This window comes from Homo sapiens, chromosome 3 (assembly GCF_000001405.40).
Source record: "Homo sapiens chromosome 3, GRCh38.p14 Primary Assembly".
Classification (NCBI taxonomy): Eukaryota; Metazoa; Chordata; class Mammalia; order Primates; family Hominidae; genus Homo; species Homo sapiens.
The window spans coordinates 75,491,939-75,514,800 of record NC_000003.12 but is presented as its reverse complement, the minus strand read 5'-3'; the positions used below and the strand labels follow the sequence as shown (position 1 = coordinate 75,514,800).

The 22,862-nt window shown below is 44.4% G+C and overlaps 1 long non-coding RNA gene across 1 annotated transcript in view; it reads right to left on the bottom strand.

The window, feature by feature from the left end:
- Positions 1–2,623: 2,623 nt before the first annotated feature.
- Positions 2,624–22,862, bottom strand: part of LINC02018 (long intergenic non-protein coding RNA 2018) — a 76,870-nt gene continuing 56,631 nt past the window's right edge. Inside the window, exon 3 of the long non-coding RNA NR_151705.1 lies at positions 2,624–2,841. This is a non-coding gene — a long non-coding RNA (long intergenic non-protein coding RNA 2018). The remainder of the gene's footprint in view (positions 2,842–22,862) is intronic.

Sequence of the window (22,862 nt, the reverse complement as noted above, 5' to 3'; positions counted from 1 at the left end):
GGTGTTTAAGCTGCTCAGTTTGCACTGGTAAATCCACCAACAGGAAAGTAATATAGAAGTTAAGTGGGCTGGGCGTGGTGGCTCATGCCTGTAATCCCAACACTTTGGGAGGCTAAGGAGGGTGGATCACAAGGTCAAGAGATCGAGACCATCCTGGCCAACATGGTGAAACCCCATCTCTACTAAAAATACAAAAATTAGCCAGGTGTGGTGGCACACAACTGTAGTCCCAACTACTCAGGAGGCTGAGGCAGGAGAATCACTTGAACTGAGGAGGTGGAGGTTGCAGTGACCCGGGACCATACCACTGCACTCCAACCTGGTTAACAGAGAGAGACTTCATCTCAAAAAAAAAAAAAAAAAAAAAGTTAAACGAATAACTTTTGAGCATTGATGGAAGTTGCTTTCATCCCCTCTTACTTAATCATCTTTATCTTAGCCTTGAAAGAGGGATGCTTTAACCCCATTTGTAACAAGTGAGTCTGAGGCCCAGGAAAGTGATAGAATTTAGCAAAGTCCACCTTGCTATCTGGTGGCCCAGCTAGAACTCAACCCCAGATCCATATACCTAAAGTCATTACAACATCCAATGAAATTTTGCCCCTCTCTCCATGCCTTCCTCTTTAGAAGCCTGTTCTTTCAGGGTTAGATCCCAACCCAGTGTTACAAGGTACTGAACTCTGATTTTCACAAAATATAGTAACTACCCCCCAAAATTGATAATCGTATTTTTGAGCCAGGCATGGTTTTTCATGCCTGTAATCCCAACACTTTGGGAGGCTGAGGTGGGTGGATCATGAAGTCAAGAGATCGAGAGCATCATGGACAACATGGTGAAACCCCATCTCTACTAAAAGTACAAAAATTAGCTGGGAGTGGTGGCAGGCATCTGTAATCCCAGCTACTCAGGAGGCTGAGGCAGGAGAATCGCTTGAACCCAGGAGGCAGAGGTTGCAGTGAGTCAAAATTGCATCACTGCACTCCAGCCTGGCAACAGAGCAAGACTCCATCTCAAAAAAAAAAAAATACTATTTTTGAGTCCTTATGTGTCAACCACTGGGCTATCCCAACACCAATAGATATTATGATTATGATTATTTTTTTCCATTTTATTGATGTGGAAACCAACACATAGAAAGGTAAAGGAACTTGCCAAAGGTGATGTTCACACAGCCAAAGAACTGTAGAAGTAGCACAGGAATCCCAGCAAACTCACAGCCAAGCTCTGCTTTTCACCTTCACGTCATACTGTCCTCAGACTAAATCCCAAACTCTGACGTTCCCAATCAAAAATCATACTCAAGGCCGGGCACGGCAGCTCACGCCTGTCATCTCAGCACTTTGGGAGGCTGAGGCAGGTGGATCACCTGAGGTCAGGAGTTCCAGACCAGCCAGGCCAACATGGTGAAACCCCATCTCTACTAAAAATACAAAACTTAGCCAGGCGCAGTGGTGGGTGTCTGTAATCCCAGCACTTTGGGAGGCTGAGGCACAAAAATCACTTTTACCCAGGAGGCAGAAGTTGCAGTGATCCATGATCATGCCACTGCACTCCAGCCTGGGCAAGAGAGTGACACTCTGTCTCAAAAGAAAAAAAAAAAAGCTGTGCTTAAAAATAGCTTGGAAGTGCACATATCTTCTGTGAAAGTTGATGGACTACAATTAGCTTCAAAACACAAATAAGTAACTGTGTTTAAATGAGGCCTTCTGTGTACTAGCTAGAGAAAATCAATGTAGCTATTCATATTTTGGTTCCCCTTCCAGGCACAGAGAAGTTGCCCATGACTCTGTGATCTGTTTTGTCCAATGAACCATGAGCAGGAGCAACTTGAGTCACCTCCAGGTGGAAGTGCTAAGAGGCTCTGTGATCCACCACATTCCCTTTCCCCTGAAGTGATGATCAAGGACATATGCAGAGATGGGACTTTTGTCAACCTGGATCCCTGAGTGAACACAATGAACAGACCACACCACAATGCCCTAACACAGCCCAGACATGTAACATGACCAAGAATAAGCCTCACTGTGGCCAGACATGGTGGCTCATGCCTGTCATCCCAGCACTTTGGGAGGCCAAGGCAGGTGGATCATTTGAGGTCAGGAGTTCAAGACCAGCCTGGCTAACATGGTGAAATCCTGTCAATACTAAGCACAAAAATTAGCCAGACAGTAGTGGCATGGGCCTGTAATCCCAGCTACTCAGGAGGCAGAGAATCACTTGAGTCTAGGAGGCAGAGGTTGCAGTGAGCTGAAATTGCACCACTGCACTCTAGTCTGGGTGACAGGGTGAGACCCTGTCTCAAAAACAAACAAGCAAACAAATACCTCACTGCATGGAGCCACTGAGATTTGGGGATTGTTGTTACTGCACCAGAACCCAAATCATCCTGACCACTAGACTGTCCTAACTAGGGTTTCTTACCAAAAGCAAAGGCATTTTTAAAGTTCGTGGCATTTAAACAAAAGAGCTTATACCAATATCTGCCACTTTGTCAGGCTAACAACGCAAACAAAGCCAACAGCCAGAAGTTAAAAGAACCAGATTAGGTTGAAAACAGAACTGTCAAAACAGGCAAAATTGACTTTGTTTAGTGATTGCAAAGATCATCAGGCAAGACACAGGTGTGGTCATCATATAATTTATCACATGCTTAATTGCACATGTTTGACTAAGAAAAACACAAAGTATTTAAGCTCATCTGTAGTTCAAAGTGCCTGTCCGTGTATTTATCCATTCATCCTGATTTATTTATTGAGCAACTCTTTTGTGCCAGGCACTGTGCTGGGTGGTGGTAATGCAATGATGGAAATGGCAGGCATGGCTCTGCTCTCCAGGAGTTTCTAGGATACAGAGGGAGATAAACAAAAATTAAGTAAATCCATGAAAGAAGTATTGGTGGAACCTGCCCCCAATATTTCAACATAGGTTCTTTCTGTTTTCCATAAGTGTCAGCCAGCTGAGAAATAAAGAGAGACACTACAAAGAGAGGAATTTCACAGCTGGGCCACTGGAGGTGACATTACCTATCAGTAGGGCCATGATGCCCCCTGAGTCTCAGACCAGCAAGTTCTTAATTAAGGGTTTCAAAAGGGGAGGGGGTGTAAGAACAGGAAGTAGGTACAAAGATCACATGCTTCAAAGGGCAAAGAGCAGAATTACTACTAAGGGTCTAACAAAGATCACATGCTTCTGAGGGAACAGGGCAAAGGGTAAAAGCAGAACTACTGATAAGGGTCCAGCAATGATCACAAAGCAAAGGTCAAAAGCAGAACCACTGATAAGGGTCTATGTTCATTGGCGCATGTATTGTCTTGATAAACATCTTAAACAACAGAAAACAAGAGAACCAGTCTGACCACAGATTTACCAGGGCGGAGTTTTTCTCCACCCTAGTAAGCCTTTGGGTACTGCATGAGACCAGGGCCTATCTCAGTCCTTATCTCAACCGCATAAGACAGACATTCCCAAAGCGGCCATTTATAGACCTCCCCCCAGGAGTGCATTCCTTTCCCAGGGTATTAATATTCCTTGCTAGGAAAAGAATTTAGTGATATCTCTCCTACTTGCACATCCGTTTATAGACTGTCTGCAAGAAGAAACATATGGTTCTTTTTGCCCGACCCTGCAGGCAGTCAGACCTTATGGTTATCTTCCCTTGTTCCCTAAAAATCGCTGTTATTCTCTTCTTTTTCAAGGTGCACTGATTTCATATTGTTGAAACACACATGTTTTAAAATCAATTGGTACAGTTAACACAATTATCACAGTGGTCCTGAGGTGATGTACATCCTTAGCTTATGAATATAACAGGATTAAGAGATTAAAGACAGGCATAAGAAATTATAAAAGTATTATTTGGGAACTGATAAATGTCCATGAAATCTTCACAATTTATGTTCCTCTGCTGCAGCTCCAGCCAGTCCCTCCATTTGGGGTCCCTGACTTCCCACAACAAGAAATAATAGGAGGCTAAGGTGGAGAAGAGCAGGGAAGTCCACTTTATAAAGGGGTCAGGAAAGAGCTCTCTGTTGGAAGCACCATTTTAGCTGAGACCTAAAGGATGGTCTAATTTGGGGAGGTGCAGAGGAAAATCATTCCAGACTGAAGCAGCAAGTGCAAAGGCCCTGTTGTGGAAAAAGGTTTGAAAGTCCAACAAAACAAAAGGAAGCCAGAGTGGCTGAAATAGAGTAGGCCAAGGGGAGGAGATAGGAGAGGGCTGGAGAGGTGGCAGGAACAGGAAGAAGACTCAGGCTCTTGATTTTATTCTATGTGCCATGGGCAGGAAAGGCAGGGATGAGACTCAATGGACACCTCAAGATCACTGAAGCTGCCAGGTGGGAAATGGATTGCTGAGCATCAAGATCAGGTGCAGAGGACCAGTTAAGACCAGTTAGGAGGCTGCTGCTGTAGCCCAGCTGGGATAGCAGTGCCCTAGGCAAAGATAACGACAGTGAAGATAGAGAGAGTGGACAAGTTGGATAAAGTTTAGAATCATGGGACTTGCTGACTGGAGAAGAGGGCAAAAGCAGAGTTAGCACAACACGTGAGTTATGACCACCTTGAGCAGCCCAGTAGGGGGTGGTGCCATTTACAGAACAGAGATGGCACAGACAGAGCCCATGGAGAAGGAGGAAAAAGAGAGTTTGGCTTTGGGTTTTTTTTAAGACAGGGTCTCTGGCTCTGTCACCCAGGCTGGAGTGCATTGGTGTGATCATAGCTCTTTGCAGCCTCAAACTCCTGGGCTCAAGCAATCCTCCTGCCTCAGCCTCCCAAGCAGCAGGATTACAGATCCTACAGATGCACTTCACCATGCCTAGCTAATTTTTTTTTTTTTTTTTTTTTTTTGGTAGACAGGGAGTCTCACTGTGTTTTCCAGGCTGGCTTCAAACTCCTGGCCTCAAGTAATCCTCCCACCTCGGCCTCTCATAGCACTGGGATTACAGCCATCACTTACCACTCCAAGCCATGAGTTTGGCTTTGGATGTAACAAGATTGAGGTGTTCATGGGTTGACAAGTGGAAAAAACAAGAAAGAAGTTGAGTGTTTAAGACTGCTGTTTGAAGGAGAAGTCTAGCCTCAAGACAAAAGTTCAGGACTCATCAGCTGAGAAATGGCACTGAAAATTATGCAAATGGATGAGCTCAGCTAGCAAACAGGTCCAGAGAGAGCAGAAAGTCCAGAGAGAGCAGCACTGGGCCATGCACCTGGCCTAATGCTACCCCACTCCTCCCAATCCCTGTGTTATGCTGGAGAGGGTTCAGCCTCTGGTGAGTTTCACCAAACCCCCACATCTCTTTCTTCTGAGACCTTCTCTAAAATCCCCTCTTTTATACTTAGTGAAATGGGATTCTCTTTTTCCCATCCAGCTTAAGCAAAAACTTTTGACTATGAGGGGAATGAGGATGCATTTAGATTTGCTCTGCATGGCTAATTCCATCAAAGATTTCTCATTTTTCATGCCTGGCAGTCTCATTTTCTTCTTTCGCCTCTCAGACATAGTCATAGCCTTAATTAGTGACGTTTTCACCCTTCTAACACTAGCGATTTTCCCCCATCTCAGTTCTCAGGAAGTTCTGTTCACAGAATTATCTCCTAAGTCATCACGTGGGGATAGAAATTGTTCTCTGTGGCCGTGTCTCCCCCTCTAATTCTCATCAAAAAACACAGTGATCTCTGTGCATCAAATATTAAACTCAAGCTTAACAGATCATGCTTTTGGCTTCTCTCTCTCTCTGGCCTGTGGGGTAACAGGTTTGCAGCCTTTGCAGAGAAGACACCAAATTCTCAGGAGGCCAGAGTTTCCAAGAGTGCTTGTCACTCTTGCTCTCTTTCTCCTGCTCAAAATTCAGCACTAGAGAGTGTTACACCATTGCACCTGCAGAGGAGTTCATCTGACTCTAGGGACTACAGAGGAGAGAGATGGACAAACTAACAGGCATTCAGAAAATGGCTACCACAATGGGGAAGAAAATGAAAGTCAAACCAAATAAGCCATGGTCAAAAAAAAAAAAAAAAATCTAGAGGGCAGCTGCAGTGGCTTACACCTGTAATCCCAGCACTTTGGGAGGCCAAGGCAGGTGGATCACTTGAGATCAGGAGTTCGAGACTAGCCTGGGCAACATAGTGAAATCACATCTCTACTAAACATACAAAAATTAGCCAGGTGTGATGGTGGGCGCCTGTAATCTCAGCATTTTGGGAGGCTGAGGTGGGTGGATCACCTGATGTCAGGAGTTTGAGACCAGCCTGGCCAACATGGTAAAACCCGATTTCTATTAAAAAATACAAAAATTAGCCAGGTGTGGTGGCAGGTGCCTGTAATCCCAGCTACTTGGGAGGCTGAGGCAGGAGAATTGCTTGAACCCAGGAGGCAGAGGTTGCAGTGGGCAAAGATTGCACCACTGCACTCCAGCCTGGGCAACAGTGAGACTTTGTCTCAAAAAAAAAAAAACAAAAAAACAAAAACAAAAACCTAGAAATGTCCATCCAGGCTGAAGAGAATATTCCAGAGCAGGGGATGGGATACTATGGCCCATGGGTCAAATCTGACCTGCTGCACAAGTTTTTGTCAATAAAGTTTTATTGAAACACAGCCATGCCCATTTGCTACATATTGTCTATGGCTGCTGGATTAGGCTGTTCTCTCATGCTATAAGGAAATACCTGAGACTGGGTAATGTACAAAGAAAAGAGGCTTAATTTGCTCACAGTTTTGTAGGCTGTACAGGGAGCATGACACTGACATCTGCTGAGCTTCTGTGGAGGCCTCAGGAAACTTACAATCATGGCAGAAGGTGAAGTGGGAACAAGAGAGTGAGGAGGGAGGTGCTACGCACTCGTAAACAACCAGATCTTGCAAGATCTCACTCACTATTGCAAGGACAGGACGAAAGGGATGATGCTAAATCATTCATGAGAAATCCACCCCCATGATCCAATCTGTCCCCACCAGGCCCCACCTCTAACACTGGGGATTACATTGCAACATGAGATTTCGGCGGGGAGACATATTCACCCTATATCAGCTGCTTTCATGCTATGGGTGGCAGAGTTGAGTAACTACTACAAGAGACTGTATGGCCCATGAATTCTAAAATATTTACTATCTGATGCTTTCAAGAAATTTTACAAAGCCTGCTCTTGAAAAGGAAGGGAAGGAAGAGGAGAGGAGGAAGGCAGGAAGGAGCAGAGAGGGACACGGGGCTGTATTCAAACATCTGTTGTTAAGAAAGAGAAATTCAATTTATTTGGCATGGCCCAAGTTATCAAACTAGGAACACTCCATTGAAGTTTCAGAACAAACACTGTGCTGAATATAAGGATGACCCCATCTGTAAAGCCTAACCTTGTTTTTATTAACTTTGTTCGTAGACGTTCCTTTTCTTTTAATCACTTAGCCTTGTTTCTACCTGAATTGACTTTCTTTTAGCTAAGAGAGCTAGACAGACTTTATCTTGGCTTTTTCACTGGCAGCCCCTTCCTCAAGGACTTAACTTGTGCAAGCTGACTCTTAGCACATCTAAGAATGCAATTAACTGATAAGATACTGTGGGGCGAGCAATATCCACAGTTCCTAGGAATTCGTCTGATTGATAATGCCTAAAGCCCCGTGTCTATCACTTTGTAATAGTCTTAAAGCCCTTAGACCTAGAACTGTTTACTTTCCTGTAACAATTTATCCTTTTAACTTCTTTGCCTACTTCTGTAAAATTGTTTTAACTAGACCCCTTTCCCCTTTCTAAACTAAAGTATAAAAGAAAATCTAGCCCCTTCTTCGGGGCTGAGAGAACTTTAAGCATTAGCCGTATCTTGGCCACCGGCTAAATAAAGACTCATAATTCGTCTCAAATTGTGGCATTTTCTCTAACTCGCTCAAGTACAACATTTGGAGGCCCTAGTGAGAAACGCCACCAGGCGAGAGCCGGGCTTGCTCCGGGCCCCCCCGGAAGGACGGCCGGCTTGTAATGGGGGCGCCACCTGAAAAAAAATTTTCAGGTCCCCGAAAGGTGACCGTCTTCCGGAGGAGAGCAGATCGACTACCGTGTGGGTGCCCACAAAAATTCCACCTCTGAGTCCTCAACTTGTGACCCCGAGGTCAGGTAGGTCAGATTTGACTTCAGTTCTAGTAAGAGGGAAGCGGCCCTGATGACGACGTCCCTCTTTTGACTCTGCCCATTTCCCTAGGATGCTAGAAGGTAGAGCCCTGGTTTTCTGTTAGGCACGTCTGTGTCTCTGTCTAGGAGGGAAGTGGCCCTGACAGGGGCCCTCCCTTGACTCAGTCCACATCCCAGGATGCTGGAGGACTGAGTCCTGGTTTCTGGCAGACCGGTCACTCTCTCTCTCTCTCTCTCTCTCTCTCTCTCTTTCTATCTCTCATCTTTCTCTTGTTCAAGTTTCTTGAAGAATCTCCAAGAAAGAAAGAAAAAAAAAACTGTTATAAACTCTGTGTGAATAATGAATGAATGAGGGAGGACAAGGGCTTGCGCTTGTCCTCCAGTTTATAGCTCCACGGTGAAAGCTACGGAGTTCAAGTGGGCCCTCACCTGCGGTTCCGTGGCGACCTCATAAGGCTTAAGGCAGCATCAGGCATATCTCGATCTGAGCCGGAAGTTTATACCGGCCTGCCAATGCTAAGAGGAGCCCAAGTTCCCTCAGGGGGAGCGGCCAGGCAGGCATCTGACTGATCTCATCACAGGACCCCCTCCCCTTGTCTGTCTAAAAAAAAAAAAAAAAGGAAGAAACTGTCATAACTGTTTACATGCCCTAAAGTCAATTGTTTATGTTGATTGTTCTGTTCAGTGTCTATTTTCTTGTTTAGTAGTTGTCAAAGTTTTGCATGTCAAGACGTTGATATTGCCCAAGACATCTAAGTAAAAACTTCTTCAAAGTCCTTAGTGCTGATTTTTTGTCACAGGAGGTTAAATTTCTTATCAATCATTTAGGCTGGCCACCACAGTCCTGTCTTTTCTGCCAGAAGCAAGTCAAGTGTTGTTACAAGAACAAGTGTGAAAAACATTTGCCTGATTAAGATTTCTAGCACCATGAAAGTTGTAAGTATTTGGATTGTCATACCCCACGTCCAAGTGATTAGACCTCCTCTAAACTAAACCAGTAGTAAATTCAAAACAGCCACCATGCAGATTTCCTTGCTCACTTCTTTTGTCATTCTGTAACTTTTCCTGTGCCCTGAAGTAGAACGTATGCCCGTACTACTTTACTTCGTTGAGATTCTTACTCTGTTCCTCTGTGGCTACTCTCCCATCTTAAAAATGATCTGAGTAGTCCTTTTTGCATCGTCCCTGCCCTCTACCCTGCACGTCTCATTTTCTGGTGTGACAGCAAGTTCAGCATCTCCATGACTTGACTCTGCTCTCACTCCTTAAACCCTTAAAAGAAAAAGCTAAGTTTAAGCTATTTGCCTTTAAGTCATAAAGACACCAAAAGTATTTAAAGTACAGATCTAGAAGAAGAAGAACGCCTAGATCAAACTGACCCAGAAGATCTCAGGCTGGCTCTAGTCCTCCTCCCTCAATCTTAAAGCTACAGTAATGTAGCAAGTAGCATTAGCTGTTGTAGTTTTTCTGCTCTTTCTAGTCATGTTGATTCTGTTCTTTCAATACTCCAGTCCCCTAAGAAATAAGTTTCTCTGTCCATGCTAAGTTTAATATTTATGCTCAAATCTTATTAAATTGCCTTCAAAAAAAAATAAGAAACACTTCCTCCCAGCCTTGTAAAAGTTAAAGCCCTCTCCAATGTGTGCTGCAGAATTTTCCTCTCAGTTTCTCAGAGGATTATAAAGTCCGCCTTAAAAAAGGCAAACTCCAGACACTGTGCAAAATAAAATGGCCAAAGTTTAAAGTCAAGTGGCCCCCTGAAGGGTCGTTGAACCTCACAATTGTTCAAACTGTGTGGCAGGTTCTTACTGAAACTCCTAGCCACCCTGATCAGTTTCCCTACCTTGATCAATAGCTAAGTTTAGTCAGGAGCCCCTCCATAGCTCCGCTCATGCGCCATTCAGAATTCTACCTCCAAGGTCCTCCTAAGCCAGACCGCGTTTTCACCTCGACCCTCAGCCGGTTCGGCTTCCCCTGTACTGCCTCCCTCTGAAGAAGAGGAGAGTCTCCCTCACCCAGTCCCACCGCCTTACAACCAGCCTGCTCCCTTAAAGTTATCCCATGTCTCCTCGACGACGTCCCCTGTAGGCTCGCCACCCATTGCCTCTCAATCGCGACCGTGGCAGGAAGAAGTAGCCCCTCTACTACCACTGAGAGAGGCACAAGTCCCTCCAGGTAATGAGCGCTCAGCCCCCTTCTTAGTTTATGTCCCTTTTTCTACTTCTGACTTATATAATTAGAAAACCCATAATCCTCCCTTCTCTGAGAAGCCCCAGGCTTTGACCTCTCTAATAGAGTCCGTACTCTGGACTCACCTGACCACCTAAGATGATTGCCAACAGCTCCTTTTAACCCTTTTCACCTCTGAAAAAAACGAACGTATCCGAAAAGAAGCCAAAAATAATTCCTCACATCAGCCAATAGACCGGAAGAAGACACTAGAGACCTCCTTGAAGAGGTCTTTCCCTCTACCTGGCCTAACTGGGACCCAAATTCCTCAAGTAGAAGGAGAGCTTTAGGCGATTTTCACCGCTATCTCCTCGCAAGTATTAAAAGAGCCGCTCAGAAACCCATAAACTTGTCTAAGATCACTGAAGTTGTCCAAAGGCCCGATAAGTCACCAAGAAAGTTTTTAGAGCGTCTCCAGGAGGCTTATTGGATTTACACCCCTTTTGACCCGGCAGCTCCGGAAAATAGCCGTGCTTTTAATTTAGCATTTGTGGCTCAGGCAGCCCCGGATATTAAAAAGAAACTCCAAAAACTAGAAAGATTTGCTAGAATAAATATCAGTCAGCTTTTACAAATAGCCCAAAAAGCTTTTGACCATCAAAAGGCTAAAAAACAAAAACAAGCAACACAGGCAGCTGAAAAGGCCGCTGATAAAGCATTCAAAAGACAAACAAAAATCTTAGTGGCGGCTATCCAAGAAGTGCAGAATAAAATAGCCCATTAATTTAGCATTAACTGAAGCCCCTGCTTTAGCCCTCCCTAATATCTCCATAAAAGCCAAGGAGTTGCTAAAGAGGTGCTTACTCAGGCTTTAAGACCCTAAAGACACCCAGTGGCCTATTTATCTAAGAGGCTACATCCTGTGGCCTCTAGATGGCCAAGTTGTCTGTGAGCTGTAGAGGCTACAGCAAGCCTAGCCCAAGAAGATAAGTTTACTCTAAGCCAAAATTTAACCCTTACAGCTCCTCGTGCTGTAAAGACCTTACTACGAAGTGCTTCTGGCAAATAGATGTCAAATGCTCGCATCTTGCAGTATCGAAGTTTACTGTTAGATCAGCCTCGTTTGACTTTCTATCCCACAAAGTGTTTCAATCCAGCTACACTACTTCCTGACTCAGAGTGCACTATTCCTGCTCATGACTGTCAAGAACTGTTAGAAACTATCGAAACTGGCCGATCTGATCTTCAAGATGTGCCCCTGGAAAAGGCAGATGCCGCCGTGTTCACAGACAGTAGCCGCTTCCTCAAGCAGGAAGTAGGAAAAGCCAGTGCAGCTGTTACCATGAAGACAGACGTGTTGTAAGCTCAAGCTTTACCAGCGAACACCTCAGCACAAAAGGCTGAATTGATCGCCCTCACTCAGGCTCTCCGATAAACTAAGAATAAACGTATTAACATTTACACTGGCAGCAAGTACGCCTTTGCTACTGTGCATGTACATAAAGCCATCTACCAGGAAAGCAGGCTACTCACCTCAGCAGGTAGCTGTGATCCACTGCAAAGGACATCAAAAAGAAAACAAGGCTGTTGCCCATAGTAACCAGAAAGCTGATTCAGCAGCTAAGGTCACAGCGCCACTTTCAGTCACGCCTCTAAACTTGCTGCCCACAGTCTCCTTTCCACAGCCAGATCTGCCTGACAATCCCATATACTCAACAACAACAAAAAACTGGCTTCAGATCTCAGAGCCAATAAAAATCAGGAAAGTTAGTAGATTCTTCCTGACTCTAGACTCTTCATATCCTGAACTATTAAAGAAACTTTAATCAGTCACCTACAGTCTACCACCCACTTAAAAAGAGCAAAGCTACCTCAGCTCCTCCGGAGCCATTTTAAGATCCCCCGTCTTCAAAGCCTAACAGATTAAGCAGCTCTCCAGTGCACAACCTGCGCTCATGTAAATGCCAAACAGAGTCCTAAACCCAGCCCTGGCCACTGTCTCTGAAAAAACTCGCCAAGAAAAAAGTAAGAAATTGACTTTACAGAAGTAAAACCACACCAGGCTAAGTACAAATACCTTCTAGTACGAGTAGACACCTTCTCCAGATAGACTAAGGCATTTGCTACCGAAAACGAAACCACCAACACAGTAGTTAAGTTTTTATGCAATGAAATCATCCCTCAATATAGGTTGCCTGCTGCCATAAAGTCTGATAATAGACCAGCCTTCACCTCGCCTATAGCTCAGTCAGTCAGTAAGGCGTTAAACATTCAATAGAAGCTCCATTGTGCCTATCAACCCCAGAGCTCCAGGCAAGTAGAACGCGTGAACCACACCCTAAAAAACACTCTTACAAAATCTTAAAAACCAGTGTAAATTAAGTAAGTCTCCTTCCTTTAGCCCTACTTAAAGTAAGGTGCACTCCTGCCATTCATTCCAGCCAGGAGACCTAGTGTTTGTTAAAAAGTTCCAAAAAGAAAGACTCACTCCTGCTTAGAAAAGACCTCACACCGTCATCCTCACGACTCCAACTGCTCTGAAAGTAGACGGCATTCCTGCTTAGATTCATCACCCCCGCATCAAAAAAGCCAACAGAGCCCAGCTAAAAACATAAGTCTCCAGGCCTAAGTCAGACCCCTTAAAACTGCACCTAAGTCAGGTGAAGCCATTAGATTAATTCTTTTTATCTACCTCACTTATTTGTTTTTGCGCTTTATGTCCTCTGTGCCTTCCTACTCCTTTCTCCTCACCTCTTTCACAACAGGACGTGTATTTGCAAACACCACTTAGAAGGCCAGTACCTCCAAGGAAGTCTCCTTCGCAGTTGATTTATTTGTACTTTTCCCAAAGCCAGCCCATACCCACGAAAAGCAACACAATCTTCCAGTCCCAGGGGCAGGAAGTGTCGACCTTGCAGCAAGATTCAGACATTCCAAGAGCCAAACTAAATGAAGAAGCTCCAAAAGTGCAGAAAAAAGACTCCAAAATATTGACTTTTACCTCTGTCCTAGAAATCACCCTGATGCTAGCTGTCAAGATGCTTATCAGTTTTTCTGCCCTGATTAGACATGTGTAACTTTAGCCACCTACTCTAAAAGATCAACCAGATCTTCAACTCTTTCCATAAGTCATGCTTCTCATCCTAAATTATGTACTAGAAAAAATTGTAATCCTCTTATTATAACTGTCCATGACCTCAATTCAACTCAATAGTATCATGGCATGGCATGAAGATTAAGATTTTATATCCCAGGATTTAATGTTAAGTCTATGTTCACCATCCAAAAAAACCCTAGTCTCATGAAGCCCACCCAAGCCAATCAGACCTTTAACTGATCTAAGTAACCCTATGTTCCAGAAACACCCTGACAAAGTTGATTTAATAGTTCCTCCACCATTCTTAGTCATAAAAGATACACTCCAAAAAGTGCAAGAAAATCTAGACAAGCGCCAACAAGAACAAGAAAATAACATCCCCTAGTATCAAAACATGTTCAACTAGAACCCATAGCTAACCACTCTAATTACTAAATTAGCCAGACCCCCTCCCCATCCTACTAATAAGTCTAATTTTTGGGCCTTGTATATTAAATTAGTTCCTTAAGTTTGTAGAACAACGCATAGCTTCTGTCAAACTTATGTATCTTAAGACTCAATATAACCCCCTTTTTATAACTGAAGAATCAATGATTTGATTCCCCAAAAACACAAGTGAGGAATGTAATGCCTAACCTTGTTTTTACTAACCGTGTTCTTAGACTCTCCCTTTCTTTTAGTGACCTAGCCTTGTTTCCACCTGAATTGACTCTCCCTTAGCTAAGAGAGCCAGACAGACTCCATTTCTTGGCTCTTTCACTGGCAGCCCCTTCCTCAAGGACTTAACTTGTGCAAGCTGACTCCCAGCACATCGAAGAATGCAATTAACTGATAAGATACTGTGGTGAGCAATAACCGCAGTTCCCAGGAATTCATCCTATTGATAACGCCCAAAGTCCCGTGTCTATCACCTTATAATAGTCTTAAAGGCCCTAGACCTAGAACTGTTTACTTTCCTGTAACAATTTATCCTTTTAACTTTTTTGCCTACTTTACTTATGTAAAATTGTTTTAACTAGACCCCCCTCCCCTTTCTAAACCAAAGTATAAAAGAAAATCTTAGCCCCTTCTTCGAAGCCGAGAGAACTTTAAACGTTAGCCGTTCCTTAGCCGCCGGCTAAATAAACAGACTCTTAATTCATCTCAAACTGTAGCGTTTTCTCTAACTCTCTCAAGAACAACACATCCAGCAGGCACGTAATCCACTCTAAAATGCTGTCCTGGGGTAGTGAAGATGATGTTGCTGGAAATATCCTTAAATGGCATGTGGATGAGTTCCCCCAGAGGCATACATGTTGAGCTAAATACTTTGCTGATGAAGGGTACAATTTGAAGGGATTTTGAAAGGCAGAGTGAGGTTCCTCAGAAGGCTGTTGCTACAGACAGCCAGGAGGAGAAATTACATGGAGAGATAGAGTGGCATGACCATTGGATAAGGGTTTTTTTGTTTGTTTTTGAGATGGAGTTTTGCTCTTGTTGCCCAGGCTGGAGTGCAATGGCATGATCTCAGCTCACCGCAACCTACACCTCCCAGGTTCAAGTGATTCTCCTGCCTCAGCCTCCCTAGTAGCTGGGATTACAGGCATGTGCCACCACACCTGGCTAATTTTGTATTTTTAGTAGAGACAGGGTTTCTCCATGTTGATCAAGCTGGTCTTGAACTCCCGACCTAAGGTGATCCCCCCGCCTTAGCCTCCCAAAGTGCTGGGATTACAGGCATGAGCCACAGCACCCAGGCTGGATGAGGGTCTTTAGCAAAGATGGAAGTTTTGGTATCTTGCAGTTTAATCTCTTCATTTATGTCCTCCTGAAATCTTCAGTAATAGCACACTTTATCAATGCTTCTGGGGTCGTACTTAGGGGGACTTAAAGGAGATGTGATGTGGCAGCCTTTGACTCAAGGGAGTATTATACTAGCTCAAAGAGATCTGGGTACATGCCTGTTGAACCAACTCTTCTGAGGATGTGTTAGATCCTGGGAGGCCACTCTGATCCTGCCAACCTTAAGGCCAGATGAGTCTTTGAAAAACATGGTTTGGCTTAACACCAGCACTTAGTTTAACACCCACCATGAATCTTGCTGAAGTGAAGCTATACAAATACCTTTCAAAAGATTTTTTTTTCATTTCAGATCCTTCTTAGAAATTCCTAAGGCTCAATGCTGTGTGGAAGTTTCTAAGAAAGAAAATAGTTTCCGATCTTTGGGATTCCCCTGAGATGGTCCAATCTGCAAAAATTTCATTGCCATTTCCATCAAGGACACTGAGAACAAGAGTCTTATCTGGATTGGATCCTGGGAATTGAGAAGTTTCCTCAAGTGGGAAATGCACCCTCCACAGGCTCACACCCTTGTGGGCTATTTCAGTTACCTATTGCACCCTAAAATTAGAAACTTTAAACCACCATAAGTCATTATTGCTCATGACCCTGTGAGTTGCATGGGGACTTCCTGTCTGGCTTAACCTGGGCTCATTTGTGTGGCTACCTGCAGCTGGAGGGCCAGATGGGCGGAACATCCAGGACAGCCTCACGCATGTTCCTGGCAGTTGGTGCTGGCTGTCAGCCGGGGAACCTTCTTTTCCTCCATGTGGCCCCTCGCCCTCCAGAGCCCCTCTCCAAATGACCCTTTAAGCAGGATAGCCAAGGTTTGCTTGGTGCCAGCATCCAAGAGGGCAAAAATATGGAAACTACGAGAGGGCCCTCAAGGCCTAAGACTATATGCATCCCAAAAATCTGAGGTCTCAGTTAATTCAGAAAGTTTATTTTGCCAAGGTTGAGAATGCACCCCTGTGATACAGCCTCAGGAGGTCCTGACAACATGTACCTAAGGTGGTAGGGACACAGCTTGGTTTCGTACATTTTAGAGAGACATAAGACATCAATCAATATGTGCAAGATGTACATTGGTCCAGTCTGGAAAGGCAGGACAACTCCAGGTGAAGGTGAAGGTGAGACAACTCGAAGTGGGGAGGGGGCTTCCAGGTCATAGGTAGTTAAGAGACAAATGGTTGCATTCTTTTGAGTTCTTGATTAGACTCTCCAAATGAGGCAATCAGATATACATTTATCTCAGTGAGCAAAGGGGTGACTTTGAATAGAATGGGAGGCAGGTTTGCCCTAAGCAGTTCCCAGCTTGACATTTCTCTTCAGCTTAGTAACTTTTTTTTTTGTTGGGGGGGGACAGAGTCTCACTCTATTGCCCAGGCGGAAGTGCAGTGGTGTGATCTCGGCTCACTGCAACCTCCAACTCCAGGGTTCAAGCAATTTTCCCTGCCTCAGCCTCCCGAGTAGCTGGGATTACAGGCGCCTGCCACCACACCTGGCTAATTTTCATATTTTTTAGTAGAGACGGGGTTTCATCATGTTGGCCAGGCTGGTCTTGAGCTCCTGACCGGTGATCTGCCCGCCTCAGCTTCCCAAAGTGCTGGGAACTCCTGACCTCAGGTGATCCGCCTGCCTCAGCTTCCCAAAGTGCTGGGATTACAGGCGTGAGCCACCGAGCCCGGCCTAGCTTAGTGATCTTGGGTCCCCAAGGTTTATTTTCCTTTCACGGCTAGAAGTTGGTCACCATCACTTTGGCAGCATTCCACTGGCCAAAGCAAGTCATAGGCAGCCCAGATTCATGTAGAGGAATATAAACTCTACGTCTTAAAGGAAAGATTGGTTCAATTACACTACACGAGCGTTTGCAGAAAATTGTACCCATCTTTGGAAACTACCACACACACACACACACACACACACACACACACACACACACACACACCTTTACATGTACCCCTCCCTTGAGGTGCATCTACTTCCAGGCAGAACTTAAACTTGACAGTACTCGACAGAAGAAAAGTAGTGTACTAAATGCCAGTTCTCTTCTTACTCAACTTCAGCCTTATTATAAGCAGATTCTAACACAGTTTATGTGTCTTGAGAAACATAGTAATTAATCTTTGGAACTTAAGAATTTATATGTAACTAACCTGCACAATGTGCACATGTACCCTAAAACTTAAAGTATAGTAAAAAAAAAAAAAAAAGAAAAAAAAAAGAATTTGAATTCATAGCAGTAGCCTATGCATAGGAAATATGCATATGGTAAGTTTTTCCTTTCTGATAAATCATGCTGAAGGAACCACAATGTAACTTTTTGTTTTTTTTTGAGAGGGAATCTCACTCTGTTGCCCAGGCTGGAGTGCAGTGGCATGATCTCAGCTCACTGCAACCTCCACCTCCCGGGTTCAAGTGATTCTCCTGCCTCAGCCTCCTGAGTAGCTGGGATTACAGGTGCGCAAGACGGGGTTTCACCATGTTGGTCAGGTTGGTCTCGAACTCCTGACCTCTGATCTGCCCACCTCGGCCTCCCAAAGTGCTGGGATTATAGGCGTGAGCCACCGGCTCACGTATACTGTAACTGTATATTGAAAGTTTCTTTTTTTAATAATTAACAGGTTTAACAGAATATATCTCCTAATCTATTCCTTTTACTGCAGACATCTTTTGCCTTTTCAGCCTAGCAGCCCTCTCCCCTCTATGGAGACTCACACTTCCTACTCCAGTCACGTGCCTCTCATGGGGGCTGCCATGTTCTCACATGACTCCACCCCTCTGGCCTCAGTTGATTGGCTCAGGGATGAACATCTGGCCTAAATTGGCCAATCAGAATTCTTCCCTTGAATATTTTTCCAAACTGGAACCAGGCCAAGTTAATCATTCTCTGTGATGACAGGAACTGTGTGTAATGAGAAATACAGGAGCTTTTGTGACCACATATCTCGCCTTATGGAGAAAAGGCTTGAGTAAGAAGAAATTAAGCTAGTATGCAGACAAACCTAGAGACAGAGATGGAGAGAGAGATCTGATGGTGTCTCCATCCAGAGATGGAGAGAGAGATCTTGTGGTAAGCCCCTTTGTATTTATCAATCTAGTACATGCTTGCTACTGCATACAACCAAGACTTTCACCTGAGAGTTTTTTCAAAGTCAGGCATGGAATATGTCAGAAAAGCCACAGAAGCCGGGTGCAGTGATTCACGCCCATAATCCCAACACTAGGAGGCCAAGGCAGGTGGATCACGAGGTCAGGAGTTCAAGACCAGCCTCACCAACATGACAAAACCCCGTCTCTACAAAAAAATAAAAAAATTAGCAGGGCATGGTGGCAGGCGCCTGTAATCCCAGCTACTCAGGAAGCTGAGGCAAGAGCATCGTTTGAACCTGGGAGGCAGATATTGCAGTGAGCCGAGATCATGCCATTGCAGTCCAGCCTGGATGACAGAGCAAGACTATGTCTCAAAAAAAAAAAAAAAAAAAAAATGAAAGAAAAAAAAGCCAGAGAGTTGATGCCCTGGGACCAGTCCTCAGCCAGTGACGGATGGGAACCAGGCTATAAATGCTTCAGTATCTTCGTCCCCTAGATGGAACAACTTCGAAATGTGTTCCACATCACCTCCCAGAGGTCCCCAGTGGGGTCAAATCCTAGTTGCCTGGAGTGGTAAGCTTCTCACTGAAGCCCCCTGTGTGGCCTCCTGCCTTTTCATGAATCAGTTCCTCACTCCCCTATTGGTGTTCCCTGGAATCATCTCCTAAATAATCCACTTGCAATCCTGTCCCTCTTTCAGCATCTGCTTGGGGTTGGGGTTGGGGAGTGCAGACCAAAACATGATCCCTTTTCCACTCCACACTAGTAGGATGAGTTTCTGTCACTGGCAACCAAGATTCTGACTATTACCTCCTTGTGAGATAATTTCTAAAATGTATTTGGGAATTTCCCCACCTCCACCCCACTGCGTATGTCATCAATATGTACATTTCTTAACAAAGTTTAATGGTATTCTTTGATCAACCTCAAGTTTCACAAAGCACACTGCACTTTCATAAGGGATCCCCATGACTGACAGATCAGCCATTCAAAAGAAGGGAAGTGTCAGAGATGGCTCTGCTAGAATCATGTATTTTTCAGTAGAACCTGGGTCAGGATGGTGTGGTTGGGAGATGCTTCTGGAGCTCTGAGACCCACAAGCCTGCATGTCCCATGGTGGAGTATTAGCACAACTTGAAAACATAGTGGCAGGAGGAGGCTTCCTCCCTCCCCTGCAGTTCATCCTCCACTATACCCAACGTGCTAATAGATATTGGTTAAATGAATAATGGGGCCAGGCGTGGTGGTTCACACCTGTAATCCCAGCACTTTGGGAGGCTGAGGCAGGTGGATCACCTGAGGTCAGGAGTTCAAGACCAGAATGGCCAACATGGCGAAACCCCGTCTCTACTAAAAATATAAAAATTAGCCAGGTGTTGTGGTGGGCGCCTGTAATCCCAGCTACTTGGGAGGCTGAGGCAGGAGAAGCACTTGAACCTGGGAGGCAGAGTTTACAGTACGCTGACATGGCACCACTGCACTCCAGCCTGGGTGACAGAGCAAGACTCAAAAGAAAAAATAAAAAGAAAGAAAAAAGAATAATGGATTTATTCCTTCCAAACTGCAACTCACCAGAAGAAGAACAAGATGCATCACAATGTTGTGGCCATAATCACCACAGTGACGATAATGAATATAATCAACTCTCGAGCCAGCCACCTCCACTAAACCTAGCAGATCACATCTGGTGTTTCACTTTGGGGATGTTTTAGTGGTCACAGTAGATGGTTGCCTGACTGCTGGCTGTTTCTACTGTGTTTCAGGAATATAGAGATGTGTATGGATGACCCCTAAAATTAATTAGTATGCAATTCTCAAAGAGCCAAACTCTACCCCAAAAGCTACTGGAATGAAAAAAAAAGAGTTTTAATTATCAAAGAGACAAACTAGATAGTAAAAGCATTTATGTTCCCTCGGAGAATCTTCCCAACCAAGGACTCAAAGTGGACTCCAGACCAGGGAATACCTGGGGCCTTGGACATTCCCAATTCTGGTATCACCTCCCATTCTCCTTTAGGTCCAGTTTTCTCAGAGGAGCATACAATGTTCATTGCCACCAAGGGTATCCAAGGACACAAACTGAAGATAATAGTGCTTTATTGTCTCTCAGTCATCTGTCTCTCCCACATGCTGGAAGGAGAGCCAAGTCCAATTTATCCAATTAGAAAATAGCAACATTGGCATCATGAGATCAGCTAACAAAACTTTCAGAGGCAATCTGTCTTCCTACCAAAAGTAACTAACATCTGTGGAGCACTTACCATGGCTAAGGGTCAACGTAAGTGGCTTGCATGCTGCATGTGTCAGGATGGACTAGGTTATGCTGCAGTAACAAATTAACCCCAGAGTCTCAGCAGCTTAGCAACCAAGGTTGATTTCTTACATTCCATGTCCACAATGGGTTGGCTGGGTATGGTGTGCTCCATATGGCCACTCAAAGACCTAGAATAATGGAAATTCTACCATCTTAATGCAGGGATTCTCCCATAGTTACTGCACCAGGAGATGAGAGGATGAGATAGTTATTCCCAAGCCCTCAAATCTGTAGACTAGAGGTGATGTCAGTGACTTCCACTTATAGAGCATTGGACCCCGGCATGGATCCATCTAACTACTGGGGGTCTGGGGAATACGGGGAGCACATGGAAATCCCATGAGCAGTAACCATTCCTGCCAGCATGCATTATTTCATCTGAACCTCACAACCCCATGGAATATAGAACAGAGGCTTAGAGAGTTATGGGACCTGCCCCAAGGCGTCATAGATAATGAGTTGCAGAGCTGAGATATGACCCTCCGCCTGGCAGGACTCAAACCACTAAGCTGCATATTCATTACAAAAGTCTATGAAATTCCTCATACAGCAAAACACCACACCAAGTGAAAAGAAAGCCAAGTTGTGCAAATACACAATAGAACTCCCCTGACACTTCATCTCCTCACCCACCCCACCCCCAACCGAAAGAATCAACCCACGCAAATAACTGGAATGAAATTCTCAGGCAATTTCAGCAGGGGAAATGGGGTTATCTCATCTGGGTCTCACATCCGACCTCATCGAGACAAGACCTTCCCTAAACTTCACCTGAACACCTGGACACACCGTCATGTCTTGCCGCTTCTTGTTACTGGAAATCCAATGATGACATCTTTATACAACTTACAGGTCTTTCTATAAGTGCCAAGATAAATGTCATCCCTGTACCTGCATAACATTCAGAGGTAGGCAAGCTTCTATGTAAAGTGCTAAATAGTAAATATTATCAGCTTTGCAGGACACATCTGATCTCCATCCTATATACTTTTTTTGTTTGTTTTACCATTTTGTTTTCTTTTTAGATAGGGTCTAAAAAGAAAATAAAACTTATCCATGCTGTGATATGGATGAACGTTAAAAACATGCTCAGTGAAAGAACCAGACATGAAAGGTCATATATTGTACAATTCCATTTATATGCAATGTTGAGACTAAGCCAATTGACAGGGATAGAAAGTAGAGGAGAGGTTTCCAGGGGCTGCGGGAGGGGGTATGCAGGGTGACTGCTGAATGGATATGGATATGAGGCTTCCAATGGAGGTGTTGAAAAAGCTCTGAAACTAGGTAGTGGTGATAATTGCACATCATGATAAATGTACAAAATGTCACTGAATTGTACACTTTCAGATGCACAAAATGGTAAATGTTGCATATATTATACCACAATTTTATTCATTCATTTCAGAGATAGAGTCTCACTCTGTCCCCCAGGCTGCAGTGCAATGGCACAATCATAGCTCACTGCTGCCTTTACCGCCTGGGCTCAAGCAATCCTCCCACCTAGTCTTCCAAGTAGCTGGGACTACAGGTGAAGGCTACCACACCCAGGGTTTCTAATTTTTTTTATAGAGTTGCATTCTCACTATATTGCCCAGACTAGCCCAAACTCCTGGCTTCAAGCGATTCTCTCATCTCAGCCTCCCAAAGTGCTGGGATAACAGGTGTAAGCCATCACGCCAGGCAATTTTTAATTCTTGTGCGAAATTTTCAACTAATAAAATCCTTGGATTAAGAAAGTATTGATCAACATGGGGATTAGAGGAAAAACTAATTTTAAACAAGAGAAAAAATTAAATGAGATGATGTATACGTGTACAGTGCCTGGCTCATGATCACTGAGTCCACTGCAGCTTTTTTTTTTTTTTTTTGAGACAGGGTTTCACTCTGTCACCCAGGCTGAGTACACTGGCATAATCACAGCTTACTGCAGCCTCAACCTCCTGGGCACAAGTGATCCTCCCACCTCAGCCTCTCAAGTAGCTGGGACTACAGGTGCACGCAGCCACACCCAGCTATTTTTGTTGTTGTTGTTGTATTTTTGGTAGTGACAGGGTCTCACCATGTTGCCCTGGCTGGCATCTTGAACTCCTGGGCTCAAGCGATCCTCCCACCTCAGCTTCCCAAAGTGCTGGGATTACAGGTGTGAGCCACCATGCCCATCCTGTTGTAGCTATTTTAATAGTGCTGCTGAACAATAATTTGCTCTCCCTATAAAAACAGGACATACAAGCCAAGGAAAGCGCCAATCTAGTT